A 16,067-nucleotide genomic window follows, 5' to 3' on the forward strand; every position below is an offset into this window, starting at 1 on the left:
CCATTAAAAAGTGGGCAATGGACATGAACAGACACTTCTCAAAAGAAGACATTTATGTGGCCAATAAGAGAAACACAAATCAAAACCACAATGAGATACCCTCTTGTGCCAGCCAGAATGGCAATTATTAAAAAGTCAAGAAACAACAGATGTTGGCAAGGTTGTGGAGAAATAGGAACACTTTTACACTGTTGGTGGGAAGGCAAATTAGTTCAACCATTGGGGAAAACAGTGTGACGATTCCTCAAAGACCTAGAACCAGAAATATAATTTGACCTAGCAATCCCATTATTGGGTATATACCCAAAGGAATATAAATCATTCTATTATAAAGACACATGCATGCATATGTTCACTGAAGCACTATTCACAATAGCAAAGACATGGAATCAACCCAAATGCCTATCAATGATAGACTGGATAAAGAAAATGTGGTACATGTACATCATGGAATACTATGCAGCCATAAAACGGGATGATATCATGTCCTTTGCAGGGACATGGATGGAAATGGAAGCCATTATCCTCAGCAAACATACGCAGGAACAGAAAACCAAACACCACATGTTCTTGCTTATAAGTGGAAGCTGAACAAAGAGAACAAATGGACACAGGGAGGGGAATAACATACACTGGGGCCTTTCAGGAGGTAGGGAGTGGGGAGGGAGAACATCAGGATAAATGGCTACTGCATGCGGGGCCTAATATCTAGGTGATGGGTTGATAGGTGCAGCAAACCACCATGGCACATGTTTATCTATGTAACAAACCTGCACGTCCTGTACATGTACCCCAGAACTTAAAATTAAATTAAGTTAAAATTTAAAGAATGAAGGAACCGTCATGAATGGCATTTGTGCCCTTAGGAGGCCGAAGGGAACTTGATTGCCCCTTCTGCCATGTGAGGACACAATGAGAAAGCATCATCTATTAACCAGAAAGTGGGCCCTTACCAGACACCAAGTCTGCCTGTGCCTTGATCTTGGATTTCTCTGCTTCCAAAACTGTGAAAAATAAAATTCTGTTATTTATAAGCTACAAAAGTTATATGGTATTTTGCTATAGCAGGCTGAATAGACACAGTTGTTTCCAGGGTTTAGGGCTAGGGGAAATGGGTCAAAAGGTGTAAAGTTTTAGTTATGCAGCATGAATAAGTTCTAGATATCTAATGAACAGCATGGTGACTATAGTTAGTAATATTATATTGTATACTTTAAATTTGCCAAGAGGGTAGATCGTAAATGTTTTCACCACCAAAAAAGAAAGGTAATACTTTGAGGTGATGGATATGTTAATTAGCTTGATAAGCGTTATCATTTCACAATGTATACATATATCAAACATCAGGTTGTATAGCTTAAATATATAATTTTTATTTGTCAATTATACTTCAATAAAGCTAGAGAAAAATGAAATGGGAAAAAATAAACATGTAAAATTATTTTTCAAAAAAATATAACTGTTAGAACCAACTAGCAGCAATAAATATTCAATTACGATGTTTAGTACTAAGAAGTAAACTTTAAAAATTGCTTACAAAACGTAAGAATTAAGAATAATACATTTCTTCTTTCCTTTTTTGAGACAGGTCTCACTCTGTAATCACAGCTCACTGTAGCCTCAGTCTCCCTGGGATAAGGTATCTTCCCACCTCAGCCTCCCAAGTAGCCGAGACCACAGATGTGCACCACCACATCAGGCTAATTTTTGTCTTTTTTGTAGAGAAGGAGTTTCACCATGTTGCCCAGGCTGGCCTTGAAGTCCTGGGCTCAAGTGATCTGCTTGTCTCAGCCTCCCAAAGTGCTAGGATTACAGGCGTGAGCCACCATGCCTGGCCAATGATAAATTTCAGCAACAAAATTTAATATTATAAATGTTGATCTATTTTAATGCAACAGCCAGAAGCCAGCAACTGATTTCCTTTGTAAAGCTCTCTACAAAAAGACCATGTCCTATTCATTGCCATACCCACAAGGCCTGCAATACCAATACTTGGTATGTAGTAAGAGCTCAAAAAAGTGTTTCAAATTAACTAATTCAGAATTATTTTTTCAGAGTATGACAATGTTACCATATTGAAAACAAACGGTCATACATAAAAGCTTTAAAGACTTGGAAAAAAAATCATACATACAAACTATGTTTTAGTACAGTAGGTAAATGATCCAGGGATGGTTACGAAAAAGTTCAGTCCTTAAATAATTGTTCAAATCATATTTCTGGGCCTTAGTTTCCTAGCCTGAAGAATGAAAACATGGCAATACCCAAATTCTAAAAATCTTTAATGGTTTAAAATTTTTTTATGATTATACCTAGGAGTATCATAAACTCTTCTTTATCTTTCACAATGAAAAACTAAAAACTTTGATGGTACAAATACCTAAAAATTATACCCATATTTTAAAATGTATATTTGTAAATATATTTTATTCACTACTAACCATGATTATATCCAAGTATGTGGGATTTTAAAATTTGAGTTACAGCATGATATTCATTTCTACTCAGTTGTTAATCTTAGATGTTAAAGATAATGAATGACAGACATATATAAAGATATATTTTATTTATAATTCAATTATAGAAAAAGGTTCTAGTTCAATGTTGCACGTCTGTGCTCTTCCTTTTCATATTTAATTATTAATATTTCCATCTATCGTCAAAGTAAATGAGTCATATCTTGCCAAGAAAGGCATTTGACTGCCTTTGGCATTTCAGGCTAACTTGGATCTTAATGTTTTCGAATTAGCAATGTATCCAGAACTTTTGTAAGGCTATTAAAATGAGTAAAATGATTCCAAATGTTTTAAATGAAGGAAATAGCGTTTCTCATTTGTTTTGTGAGGGGGAGAAATTTATCTTTACCTCAAAATTAAGCTCTGATCACGGAACATAACTATTATGTTAAATATATATTAGTTTATTTGTATATGGTCTACATTTAACATGTTATCCTAAAAAAAACATTATGTATTCAACTTAAAAGCAAGAATAGCAAGAAAATGGACGGACCTCAAGACTATAAAATATTCATGTAGTTTTCTAAGTGCTCCAAAAAAGAAAGATAACACCTTTGTGCTTTAATATTTGTTAATTTAACACTACATTTGTTAATTTAACTTGTTTAGATATATATGACCATTTTATAATCACAAATACCTGTGACTAGTTTCATTTATCTTGAAAATTATACAGCTGTGTGTGTTTAAAATTTTTTCAGAAATGAAAATGTGAGATAGTACTAATCACAACAAAAAGTATACCTTTTTAAACCATAAAGAAAATCCCAAAGCCCTTAATAAAGTAGAACACATTTTAGAATAGAATTTAAAATGTTAAGTAAAGATCTTGAAACATCACTTAAAATATCAAACTACTATACTATCGTACAGTAAATTGATATTACTACAGCACTTGAAAGACTATAGGGCTTTATTATTCAAGTTGGCTATTGGACCAGCATCACTTGGAAGTTTGTTAGAAATGCGGAATCTCAGACCCCACACATGACCTATTGAATCAATCTGTACTTCGTTAACAAAATCCCTAGGTGATCCATACTGATCCATATGGATTTCTTAAAATCCAAAGTTTAAGAATCACTGCCCTAAGGTATTATTTTAATTACTACTTCATAAATTATACAAAATCACTTTGTGTTTATTTGAATTGGAAATGAATATCTGAAGTTTTATAACACTCAATTTGCTATTGAAAAATCTATTTCTATTTATCGTTTACACATGTACATACCCAATACATTTCTCACCTATTTAGGTAGATAATTAATTGATGCATATCAATAGACTAGAGTAAAAATAAATTTATTTTTCTCTAACCATAAATGGCAGGGTACTCAAAATAAAGTATCCAAGAAATGAGGAAAATATGCAATAATTTAAATTTTTAAATTATCATATTTTAAAGAAACTTCTGTTTTTATTTTGGTAACTTTCAAATTATTCAATCACCAACCTTCCATCCTAAACTCTTTATGTAAGAATTCTCATAACTTCTGAACTCTGGTTTTCCAATGCAAATGCAATAAGATTCTACTTTGCTAAAACAACTGGAGCCTTACATGAAACATACACACACACAGACACACTACTACTGTGGAAATTCTAAGCTATTTAAACACTGTAAGCATAAGGATATTTTTCATGCTTTAAAATACAGGATTAGAAAAGTTTATGCCTTAAGAAGTAGATGACATTCGATATTTTCCAATTTACCAATTCCAGAATATATCTGGGCATTTCCACATGAATCTAATATACAGTAAATGTATCAGTACCCTGGAGTGCTCTGGATAGTGAGATAGGTTCCTGAGAATTCTAGGACCATTCCATGTAGTGTACCAAAACTGTACATTTACTGAAGGAGAAAACAAGCTTAGTACCATTATCTAAAGATAATTCAAAATTCTGTGATGAACTTAGAATCATTTTCAAACAACTTACACCAAATATTTACTTACTTAAGTACTTGTTTAAATCTGAAAGTTTAGGATGAGTAACTATAAAACAGGGAATAATATTATCTTCAATAACATTTACCTGGATGACTTTCTACTTGTAGGGTAAATCACAATTACAAATTAATAAAAGTTATTTTAATAAAATATGTGGATTTTTAAAATATTAAATTTACCTGAAAAAAGAAAGATTAATTTTTTATCATACAGCTTAAGGGCAATTCAATAATATACCTTTCACTAAAACTACAATAAAATTAATCACAATTGGCTGGGCGTGGTGGTTCACGCCTGTTAAATCCCAGTACTTTGGGAGGCCAAGGCGGGCAGATCACCTGAGGTCAGGAGTTTGAGACCAGCCTGGCTAACATGGTGAAACCCCATCTCTACTAAAAATACAAAAATCAGCTGGTGTGGTGGTGCACGTCTGTGGTCCGAGCTACGAGGGAGGCAGAGGCAAAAGAATGGCTTGAACTCAGGAGGTTGAGGTTGCAGTGAGCCAAGATCACTCCACTGCATTCCAGCCTGGGCAACAGAGCAAGATGCTGTCTCAAAAAAAAAAAAAAAATCAAAATTTTACCTATTCTACATTTATTTAACATAAGGTTCTCTTATATTGGCTGGGTGCGTTGGCTCACACCTGTAATCCCAGCACTTTCAGAAGCCAAGGCAGGGTCGTAACTTGAGGCCAGGTGTTCAAGACCAGCCTGGCCAACACGGCAAAACCACATCTCAACTAAAAATACAAAAATTAGCTGGGTGTGGTGGTGCGTGCCTATAGTCCCAGCTACTCAAGAGGCTGAGGCATGAGAATCGCTTGAGCTGGGGAGGTGGAGGTTGCAGTGAGCTGAGATTGCACCATTACACCCCAGCCTCCGCGACAGGGCAAGACTGTCGAAAAAAAAAAAAAAAAAAAAAAAAGTTCTCTTATATTTATGTTATATAGTTTATCTAACATAAAGGCAATATTATTTGGTGAGGATATCATAAAAATTATTGTTATTTAAAGAAAATACTACCTACTGAAAATGACATATTGTGAACCCCAAATATCTGAGACAGCTCTCAGTTAATTTAGACAGTTTATTTTGCCAAGGTTGACAACACAGAACACCCCAAAAGGGGTGAGTGATGCCTTTGTTCTGAATTTTTTAAAGTGGTTCAAGTCATTAGAAGCCTCCTCTAGATTTTTTTTTTTTTTTTTTTTTTTTTTTTTTTTGGTACTGCAAATGGCAAAAAATAGGGTGGAAGAAAAGTAAATGAAAGAATGTTTGTTTTTCAAGACAGGAAGCAACACAGAAACCAAGTGCACGGTTTTTTTTTTTCCTCTTTTGCAGCTGCAAGGAATTTTAGACAAATTAGAGAGGCTTTCTTACCCATAATTTGGAATCCTCACTCAGATTTGACGAAATCAGGTAGAGATGGTCAAATCTGATGGGAGAAAGACCAGAACAAACAACAACAAAAAACCCAACAATATGATCACTGAGTGCTCTAATGGTAAGGAGAAATTAAAACCAGCTGGTTGTTAATTTTAGTCAAATCAAAACCTCAATTCAGTTACTTACCTAGGGATGGGTCTCAGGCTGAACAATGTTCTCTACCATCCTAAAAGCACGAAAAAACTCAATCCCATCTTCCCTGTTGGGAGCGAGCTCAGACTCCATAAAGGATTACCTGCCTTCCATTGTCATGGAAGCAGGAAATCTTCCCTTCCTTGTTGGGAGCAAGTAAAACTCCAAAAAAGGGAATCATACAGCAAAATAAACTTTAGATTTCGACCAGATTTTGGGAGATCAGGGATTCTCTGGAGGGGGTGCTCCCAGACCTCAGCAAATTGCCTTATTCGTTTGAGCCATACAGTTAGCTCATGTTGGTACCAAGCACCAATAAGAGATTTGTCAAAGGTCAGGGGTACCTCCAATCAGAATCCCTTCATGGTTACCAAATGTGAAGCCTGAATATCTGAGAGAGGTCTCAGTTAATTTAGAAAGTTTATTCTGCCAAGGTTGAGGATGGTGCCTGTGACACAGCCTCAGGCAGTCCTGATGACCTGTGCCCAAGGTGATCAGAGCACAGCTTGGTTTTATACATTTTAGGGAGACACAAGACATCAATCAACATATGTAAGACAAATATTATTTCAGTCCGGAAAGGCGGGAAAACTGGAAGTGAGGAGGGGGCTTCCAGGTCATAGGTAGATAAGAGACAAATGGTTGCATTCTCTTAAGTTTCTGATTAGCCTCTCCAAAGGAGGCAATCAGATAGGCATTTATCTCAGTGAGCAGAGTGATGACTTTGAATAGAACTGGAGGTAGGTTTCTCCTAAGCAGTTCCCAGCTTGACCTTCTCCTTTAGCTTAGTGATGTTGGGGCCCCAAGATTTATTTTCCTTTCACAATATAAAGTGAATCTGGACCTCTAAACCACTTACTTTGAATATTCCCTCAAAGTCTGGCTATTTTTCTACACTAGGGAACACAGACACCATCTATCAAATGCTGACAAAAAATGGATGATGTGATGGTAAGAAAGGAGGTAGAGAGGGAGAAAAGAAATACCAGACTTAAATTTTTTCTTTCAACTTTATCCACAGTTTGCATCGGTAATATACATTTAAGTGTTCCATTTATTTTTAAATGCATCAGAAAAGCAATTATGATAGATCTGTGACCAATACAAACATTTCTGATTTATTCAAAAAATTCAGTTAAAAAAGTCATTAAACTAGCATTCTGTAAAGATAATTATTAAACAAATGGTAATGCATTTTTACTCCTTATTTCATTTCTAACATACCCAATGTCACTTCTTTCTTGTGCCATACAGTAATAAAATGTAACAGAAATAGATATCTATTAAATTTTGGGGGCCTAATAAAATATTTTTGATTATTCAACTGTCATTAAATCACAAATCCCACTCAAGTAATGAAAATCATTCTTAATTCAATAACTGATGAAATAGATAATAGCCATAAAAACATTTAGAATAAATTTTACACTTAGAAACTACTAAAAGAAATACATCAGAGCCTTGGTATAACATTGTAGGGGACCATGCTGTGAAACTGCTTTAGACGTGGTGTTGCCATTTGGCACAAGAGTAAATGAACTGCCATGATGTGGACCTCAGAGAAGCCCATCTTAAATTGAATTTTGCTCTGCAGTAAAGAATGCTACAGTGAGGTTCTGCTGTATTTTCTTTTTAAAGGAATAATTAACTGAAAAGTAACTGAAATGTTATAAGAAAATGGCCTACAATTTCACTACTACTTCAAAGATATGAAACAGGACAACACTTGTAAAATAATTCATACTAGATTGATTAATCAGAGACTATCATAACACCTATGAAAGCAGTATGAATGATTGCTGTGTTTTTAATGGTCACTTAATTTGTAATGCTGTCAAATTTCTACATAAAAAGTCATTAACTAAGGTATTTATTTGCCATTTCTTACATATATTACCCAAGTTTTCACTAGGGAGATTATGTCAGCGAGTTTTTTTTTTATCCAACTAAAAAATTAACAACTAATGAGGTCAAATATTTAAAATAATAAATTACTAATAATTTAATTCTTAAACCATATACTCATAGAAGCTTTAATTCTTTAAAAGCTCCAATTTGACCCTTGGGGAATGTAATGAACACATCTGTATTCTAAAGCCAAAATTTAATTCTATGGCTTCATGCCAACTGATCAAAAAAAGTACAGTTGTTCCTATACCATTTGGCACACTAGTTTTTTACCTTTTATATATACCCTTTGAAATACCCAGGCCAACATTTTTAATAAGTTGCATCCATATTAAGAGGTAACAAGTGCAAATGATCACATACTTAAGATATGATGCTTGCTTGGTTACTACAAAAGTAATTATTCAGGTTCTTCTATAGGAAACTCAGTTATTCATTACAGTAATGTTTTTGAAAAATTCCTGCAATACCACCAATGTAAATTTACCCATACCTAAGTTAAAACAAGGACTTTGTGTAACACAGTATCTCATGAAAATATTTATAGAAGAGTCTGTGTTTAATTTAACATCAAAGTAATTGAAGATCACAAGGTTTACAGGATTCACAAATGGCCAGATTTTGAGTAAAAACCTATTCCTCAACTGCTGCTCTCTGAGTATAGCTAAAGGCAGCACTGATAGAATGCTGCTCAAAGGGAAGATATAAACCCAAACTTTGGCAGTTTTATCAAAATGTCCTTGATAATTAGTACTTCACTAGTTCTCAAAAACTTTACTGCTTTGTGTAACATTTTCAATACAGAAATAAAATACTCTTCAAATAATACATTTTAAAAGATGATTAAGTTTCACAAAATTAAATAGCATAAATTAATCATATTAACATTGGTATTTTTGACAACATGAAATAACCAATTTAAGGGAAACTGCAATGGACTAACTAAAAAACCACAAATGTCACAATGTGAGGCTCATTTAAATCCTCACATATTACTGACTTTACAAAATCTACTAAAATATTTTAAAGTTCCATTGACTCTATTAATACATTTAAAAAATTGCAAAAATGCTTAAGACTATGTAAGAGTCATCAATTACACAGGCACTTCACATGTAAACAATCTACAGTACAACTGAAAATATTTTGGCACCAACCTATAATACTAAAAGAATTTAATATAAAGCCAGAATTGTTTTTTCTACTCCTTTTTTCTAGAAAACTAAGACCAAAGATTGAAGAAATTGTGTATAAACTAGAATTAGAAGTGTATTAAATAACTCAAATATAGAATTGCTCTAAATTGCTAAAAAAAATTACCTTTATCCAGATGTTTACTAATATGCTATGATGTAAAAAAATTAAACCTAATGTGATTATTAAATTGAAACTACATTTTAAATTTAGTATCAGTCTGCTTTCTGAAAAATAATCAAGATTATCAACTGACTTAGTAAAAAGAGAATTTGAGTTTATCAAATACTCTTATTAAGTTAATCCAGTTTTCCCCCAAAGAAGTTCGGGCAATTCAATGTTTAAGTTTGATGTTTCAATGTAATTTTTTTAAAATCCTAAGGCGTGACCTAAGGCAAACTATTTTTGACGGAATATTCTTATTCATGAATTTGAAATATTTGAAATCACTTCAAATAAATGAAACTATACACTTAGAATTTTAAAATGTTATATTAAGCCACAGAAAGCTGAGATGCCTTGGTTGTTGGTAATTCAAGGAGCGCCTGAACTGTGACACCAACTTTCACAAGTCCTCGTTCTTCCAAAATATGATGAGGCAAACAAAGTCTTTCCTGGAGAAAAAAAAGAGATATTTGAACATTCATTTTTTAGAAGTGTAATAAAATTAAGTCAGAATTTGATTTTAAAAACATGATTTCTATAAAATGTCAAGAAAACTACATAATTCTAAGTTTTCTCTTATAAATATTGTAATCTAAAATGTTTTTAGATTCTTAATTTATACTAAGAAAAAAGATTATAGAAGTCGGCCTTGTTTGAAATGCTGTCATTCCACACTTGTACCTCTTTCTCTACAAAGAAAATGTTTATAAAAGAGTTGGTCACCACTTTTGGATTTCCCACTCACTACTCAACCACTGCTATCTTACATCTAACCCTAAAGCATATGCCCACTAAAACTATTTTAGTAAAAATCACCAATGCCATCTTAAATGTCAAATGTTGCACATGTCTAGTTGACTGCTCAGTCATATTATGCCTTTGATTAATGCCTTTCTGGGAACCTTACTCCTCCCCTGTCTTGTGTGACACCATTCTTTTCTACTTCAACTTTTCTGACAGCAATTGTGCAGTAGCTTTCATTAATTAGCCCTCACCGATCCTCTTCCAACATTCCAAATGTTTCCAAGGGTTCTGTCTTCACTCTCTTCTCTTTTACACTATACCCTCTCTTTTGGTATTCTCATCTATTTCTAGTTTTAACTACCCCTTCCATACCGATGGCTTCCAAGTTTTTATTTCCTCCCAAGATCTCTCTATTGATCTCCAAATACAATATCAACTGGACACAGCCAAATGGACATCTAACAGACATATCAAAATCAATGTGTCCACAACAGAACTACTTTACCAAATTAATTTGCCCTTCTGCGATCCATGTCTTAGTAATACACTATTCAATCTCCATTGACAAACCTGTGAAATATAATAGTCTTCCTCTTTCTTCCTTACTCCCATAACCCATTCTCCAAATACTAATGATGGTATCCCATAAAGAGTTCTCAAAATTATTGCCTCATCTCCATCTTCACTGCTATATTTGTTGCCCTCTTAATATTTTGCTTATTTATTCAAATAACCACTGAAGTGTATGCTAGAAAAGAAGGAAGGCTTCAAATCAATGACTTCAGCTTCCACCCTAGAAACTAAAAAAAGAAGAGCAAATTAAACCAATGGCAAAAGAATGGTGCAAATAATGAGAATGAGAGAGGAAAACAATAAAGTAAAAAAACAAAAAACAATAGATAAAAAAAATCAATGCAACCCAAAGTTAGTTCATTTAGAAGATTTTTAAAAATTCATAAACCTCAAGCTAGGCTAATCAGGAAGGAAAGAGAGAATACACAAATTACCAATATCATAAATAAGGGAAGTGACACCACAAGATATTCTACAAATACCAAAATGATAATAAGGAGACATTATAAATAACTTCATAATAATAGTTTGACAAGTTAGATGAAATGGATGAATTCTTTGAAAGAATAATTAAATGATTCTGTAAAGAGAAACTCCTAAGGCACAGAAACACACACAAAAAAACTATTATAGAACTAATAAATGAGTTCTGCAAGGTTGCAGAATACAAGATCAATAAAAGAAAATCACTTCTATTTCTATGAAGTAGCAATAAAAAATTGACAGTGGAATTAAAGAAATAATTATATTTATAATAGTACCAAAGAGAATAAAATACTAAGCATTTAATTTAACAAATCTAATGAAAGACTCATACACTGAAAACTACAAAACACTGTTGGAATAAAAATTAAAAGATATAAATAAATGGAAAGATGTCTCATGTTAATGGATCACAGGAATAAACATTGTGAAGATGACAATATTCCCCAAATCATTTTAGATTCGGTAATCCCAGCAAAATCCCAAGTGGCTTTTTTGCAGAAATTGACAAGCTAATCAATCCTAAAATTGATATGGAAATGCAAGGGACTCAGTATAGCCAAAACAACCTTGATACAGAACAAATGTGGAAGACTCACACTTCTTGATTTCAAAATGCATCACAAAATTACAGTAAGCAAGACAGTGTGATACTGGAATAAGGAATTTAGTGGTAAAAAAAACTGAGAATCCAGAAATAAAGCCTTATATTTATGGTCACCTGATTTTTGACAAAGGTGCTAAGACAGACAATTCAATGGGGAAAAGAAGAGTCTTATCAACAAATGGTGCTGGGAAAATTGGATATCCACATGTGAAAGAATGAATTTGGATCCGTACCTCATACCATGCACAAAACTGATCTCAAAATGGATCACAGACAAAAAGGTAAGCCCTAAAACTATAAAACTTTTAGAAGAAAACACAGGTGTAAATCTTTGTGACCCTGAATTACACAATGTTTTCTTAGATATGATATCAAAATCATAAGCAGCAGAAGAAAAAATGGGATAAACTACACTTCATCAAATTAGTAACTTTTGTGCTGTAAATGATACCATCAAGAAAGTGAAAAGACAACCTGCAGAATGGGAGAAAATATTTGCAAATCATGTATCTCTTAGGCAATTTGTATCCAGAATACATAAGGAACTACAACTCAAAAAAAAAAGATAAATAATCTAACTCAGAAATGAACACAGGGTTTCAATAGACATTACTCCAAAGAACATATACAAATCAATAAGCACAAGAAAAGATGCTCAACATCATTAACTACTAGGGAAACGCAAATCAAAACCGCAATAAGATATCACATCACATACACACTAAAATAGCTACAACCAAAAAGGTAGACAGTAGTAGCCATTGTTGGTGATGATGTGAAGAAATTAGAACCCTCATATATTGCTGGTGGAAATGTAAAAATAGTGCAGCCACTTTGCAACATATTTTGTCAGTTTCTTAAAAAATATAAACATAGAGTTACCATATAACCTAACAATTTCACTGCTAGGTATAACCAAGAGAACTGAAAACAAGTGTTCAAAGAAAAACTTATTCACGGATGTTCAAAGCAACATTATTCATAATAAACAATGAGTGATAACAATCCAAATGTCTATCAACTGATGAATGGATAAACAACATGTGGTATGTATTTAGAACAGAACACTATTCAGCCATAAAAAGAAATGAAGTACTGATTTAGGCTACAAATGGATGAACCTTGGAAAAATTATACTAAGTCAAAGAAGCCAGACACTAAAGACCACATATTGTATGATTTCATTATATGTCATGTCTAGAGTAGGCAAATCCATAGAAAGAACAGAGGAAGGACTGCGAATGGGCAAGGGCTGTGTTTCTGGGGTGACGAAAATATTTTAAACAGATTGTTGTTAACTGTTGCTGAACTCTGTGATTATGCTAAAAACCATTTAATTGTACACTTTAAATCAGTGAATGCTATGGCATTGTAATTATATCTCAATAAAAATATTTTCTTAAAAAAATCAATGTATATGCCCAATCTCAGGCTTAAAAAAAGAGAACTTCAATCCATACTTTTTAACCACATACAAAAACTAACTCAAAATTGATCATAGACATGAACACAAAACCTAAGATTATAAAATTTCCAGAAGTAAACATAGGAAAGAAATCTTTGTGGCCTTGGATTATACGAAGATTTCCTAGGTTTGACACAAAAAGCACAGCCCATTTTAAAAAATAAATTGTACTTCAATAAGTGAAGATCCTGCTCCTTGAAAGACACTCTAAGGACAATGAAAGGACAAGCCAAAGATTTGGATGCAATATTTATAAATCTGGTAAATGTCTTTATCCATAACTTGTAAAGAAATCTGAAATTCAATCATAGGAAAATAAACAACCCAATACAAAATATACCTCAGATTAGAATATGTACTTCAAAAAAGAAAGTATACTTCAAAGTACTTCAAAAAGAAGATATACAGGTGGCAAATAAGCCTTGAAAAGATGATCGGCATCATTAGTCTTTAGGAAAATGCAAATTAAAACTGCACTGGCAAGTCAGTACATACATATCACAATGACTAAAATTTTTAGAAGATTGATCATACTGAATGTTAGTGAGGATGTGGAGGAACTGGAACTCTCACATACTGCTGACAGGAATGTAAAACAGTACAACCACTTTGGAAGAGTTATGTAGTTTCTTAAAATGTTAAGTATGCACTTCCATATGTTCCAGTTATTCCACTGCTAGGTATTTACTAAAAATTAAAGAATGTATAAATCCATACAAAGACTTGTATACAAATGTTCATAGCAGCTTTATTTGTAGCAGCCGCTAAAACTGGAAACAACCCAAATGTCCATCAGCAGGTCAAGGGATTAACAAACTGTGGTATATCCATACAATAAAATACTATCCAGAAATGAACAGCAATGGTCTATTCATACATGCAACAACACTGACGAGTCATAAAATAATTATGCTGAGTGAAAGAAGATAGAAAAATATAATACATATTGTATCATTCCATTTATATAAAACTCTAGAAAGTGCAAACTAATCTGCAATGACAGAAAGCAGATTAGTGGTTGCTGGAGAAAGAAGGATTGCAAAGACACATGAGGAAATTTTGGGGGGCAGTAGATATGTTCATTATTTTGACTGTGGTGATGATTTCATGGTGTATGCATATGTCAAAATTGATCAAATTGTACACTTTATTTATATGCCCTATATTGTATGTTAATAACTCAATAAGGCTGTTAAAAATTGGAAAACATCCTAAAACAAAGAAAATTAATTTAAAAATTATTATATATTACCAATTCTGAGTTCAGAGAAAAGCAATGAAGCTAAAAATAAAACCCTTAAAACAAAAATGACATAATATTAGTGAGGTAGTGAATGCTTGTAATCCCAGTTATTTGTGAAATGGAAGTCTAGAGCTCAGGAGTTCCAGTCCAGCCTGGGCAACACAGTCAGACTCCATCTCTAAAAAAAGGGTTTTTTTTAACCCTTCAAAAAATTAATGAATCCAGGAGCTGGTTTTTTGAAAGGATCAACAAAATTGATAAACCGCTAGCAAGACTAATAAAGAAAAAAAGAGAGAAGAATCAAATAGACACAATAAAAAATGATAAAGGGGACATCACCACTGATCCCACAGAAAAACGAACTACCACCAGAGAATACTACAAACACCTCTACGCAAATAAACTAGAAAATCTAGAAGAAATGGATAAATTCCTCTACACATACACCCTCCCAAGACTAAACCAGGAAGAAGTTGAATCTCTGAATAGACCAATAACAGGATCTGAAATTGTGGCAATAATCAATAGCTTACCAACCAAAAAGAGTCCAGGACCAGATGGATTCACAGCTGAATTCTACCAGAGGTACAAGGAGGAACTGGTACCATTCCTTCTGAAATTATTCCAATCAATAGAAAAAGAGGGAATCCTCCCTAACTCATTTGATGAGGCCAGCATCATCCTGATACCAAAGCCGAGCAGAGACACAACCAAAAAAGAGAATTTCAGACCAATATCCTTGATGAACATTGATGCAAAAATCCTCAATAAAATACTGGCAAACTGAATCCAGCAGCACATCAAAAAGCTTATCCACCATGATCAAGTGGGCTTCATCCCTGGGATGCAAGGCTGGTTCAATATACGCAAATCAATAAATGTAATCCAGCATATAAACAGAACCAAAGACAAAAACCACATGATTATCGCAATAGATGCAGAAAAGAACTTTGACAAAATTCAACAACCCTTCATGCTAAAAACTCTCAATAAATTAGGTATTGATGGGACGTATCTCAAAATAATAAGAGCTATCTATGACAAACCCACAGCCAATATTATAATGAATGGGCAAAAACTGGAAGCATTCCCTTTGAAAACTGGCACAAGACAGGGATGCCCTCTGTCACCACTCCTATTCAACATAGTGTTGGAAGTTCTGGCCAGGGCAATTAGGCAGGAGAAGGAAATAAAGGGTATTCAATTAGGAAAAGAGGAAGTCAAATTGTCCCTGTTTGCAGACCACATGATTGTATATCTAGAAAACCCCATTGTCTCAGCCCAAAATCTCCTTAACCTGATAAGCAACTTCAGCAAAGTCTCAGGATACAAAATCAATGTACAAAAATCACAAGCATTCTTATACACCAACAACAGACAAACAGAGAGCCAAATCATGAGTGAACTCCCATTCACAATTGCTTCAAAGACAATAAAATACCTAGGAATCCAACTTACAAGGGATGTGAAGGACCTCTTCAAGGAGAACTACAAACCACTGCTCAAGGAAATAAAAGAGGATACAAACAAATGGAAGAACATTCCATGCTCATGGGTAGGAAGAATCAATATTGTGAAAATGGCCATACTGCCCAAGGTAATTTACAGATTCAATGCCATCCCCATCAAGCTAC

At 33.6% G+C, this 16,067-nt stretch overlaps 1 protein-coding gene across 3 annotated transcripts in view; it reads right to left on the bottom strand.

Moving 5' to 3' along the window:
* LRCH2 (leucine rich repeats and calponin homology domain containing 2) overlaps nucleotides 7,048-16,067 on the bottom strand; it is a 123,481-nt gene continuing 114,461 nt past the window's right edge. For all 3 annotated transcript variants that reach the window (XM_006724724.4, NM_001243963.2, NM_020871.4), the window contains one exon: nucleotides 7,048-9,767. In XM_006724724.4, coding sequence (XP_006724787.2) covers nucleotides 9,648-9,767 — 120 coding nt within the window. In that variant the 3' untranslated portion in view covers nucleotides 7,048-9,647. The remainder of the gene's footprint in view (nucleotides 9,768-16,067) is intronic.

Source organism: Homo sapiens, chromosome X, assembly GCF_000001405.40.
Source record: "Homo sapiens chromosome X, GRCh38.p14 Primary Assembly".
Lineage (NCBI taxonomy): Eukaryota > Metazoa > Chordata > Mammalia > Primates > Hominidae > Homo > Homo sapiens.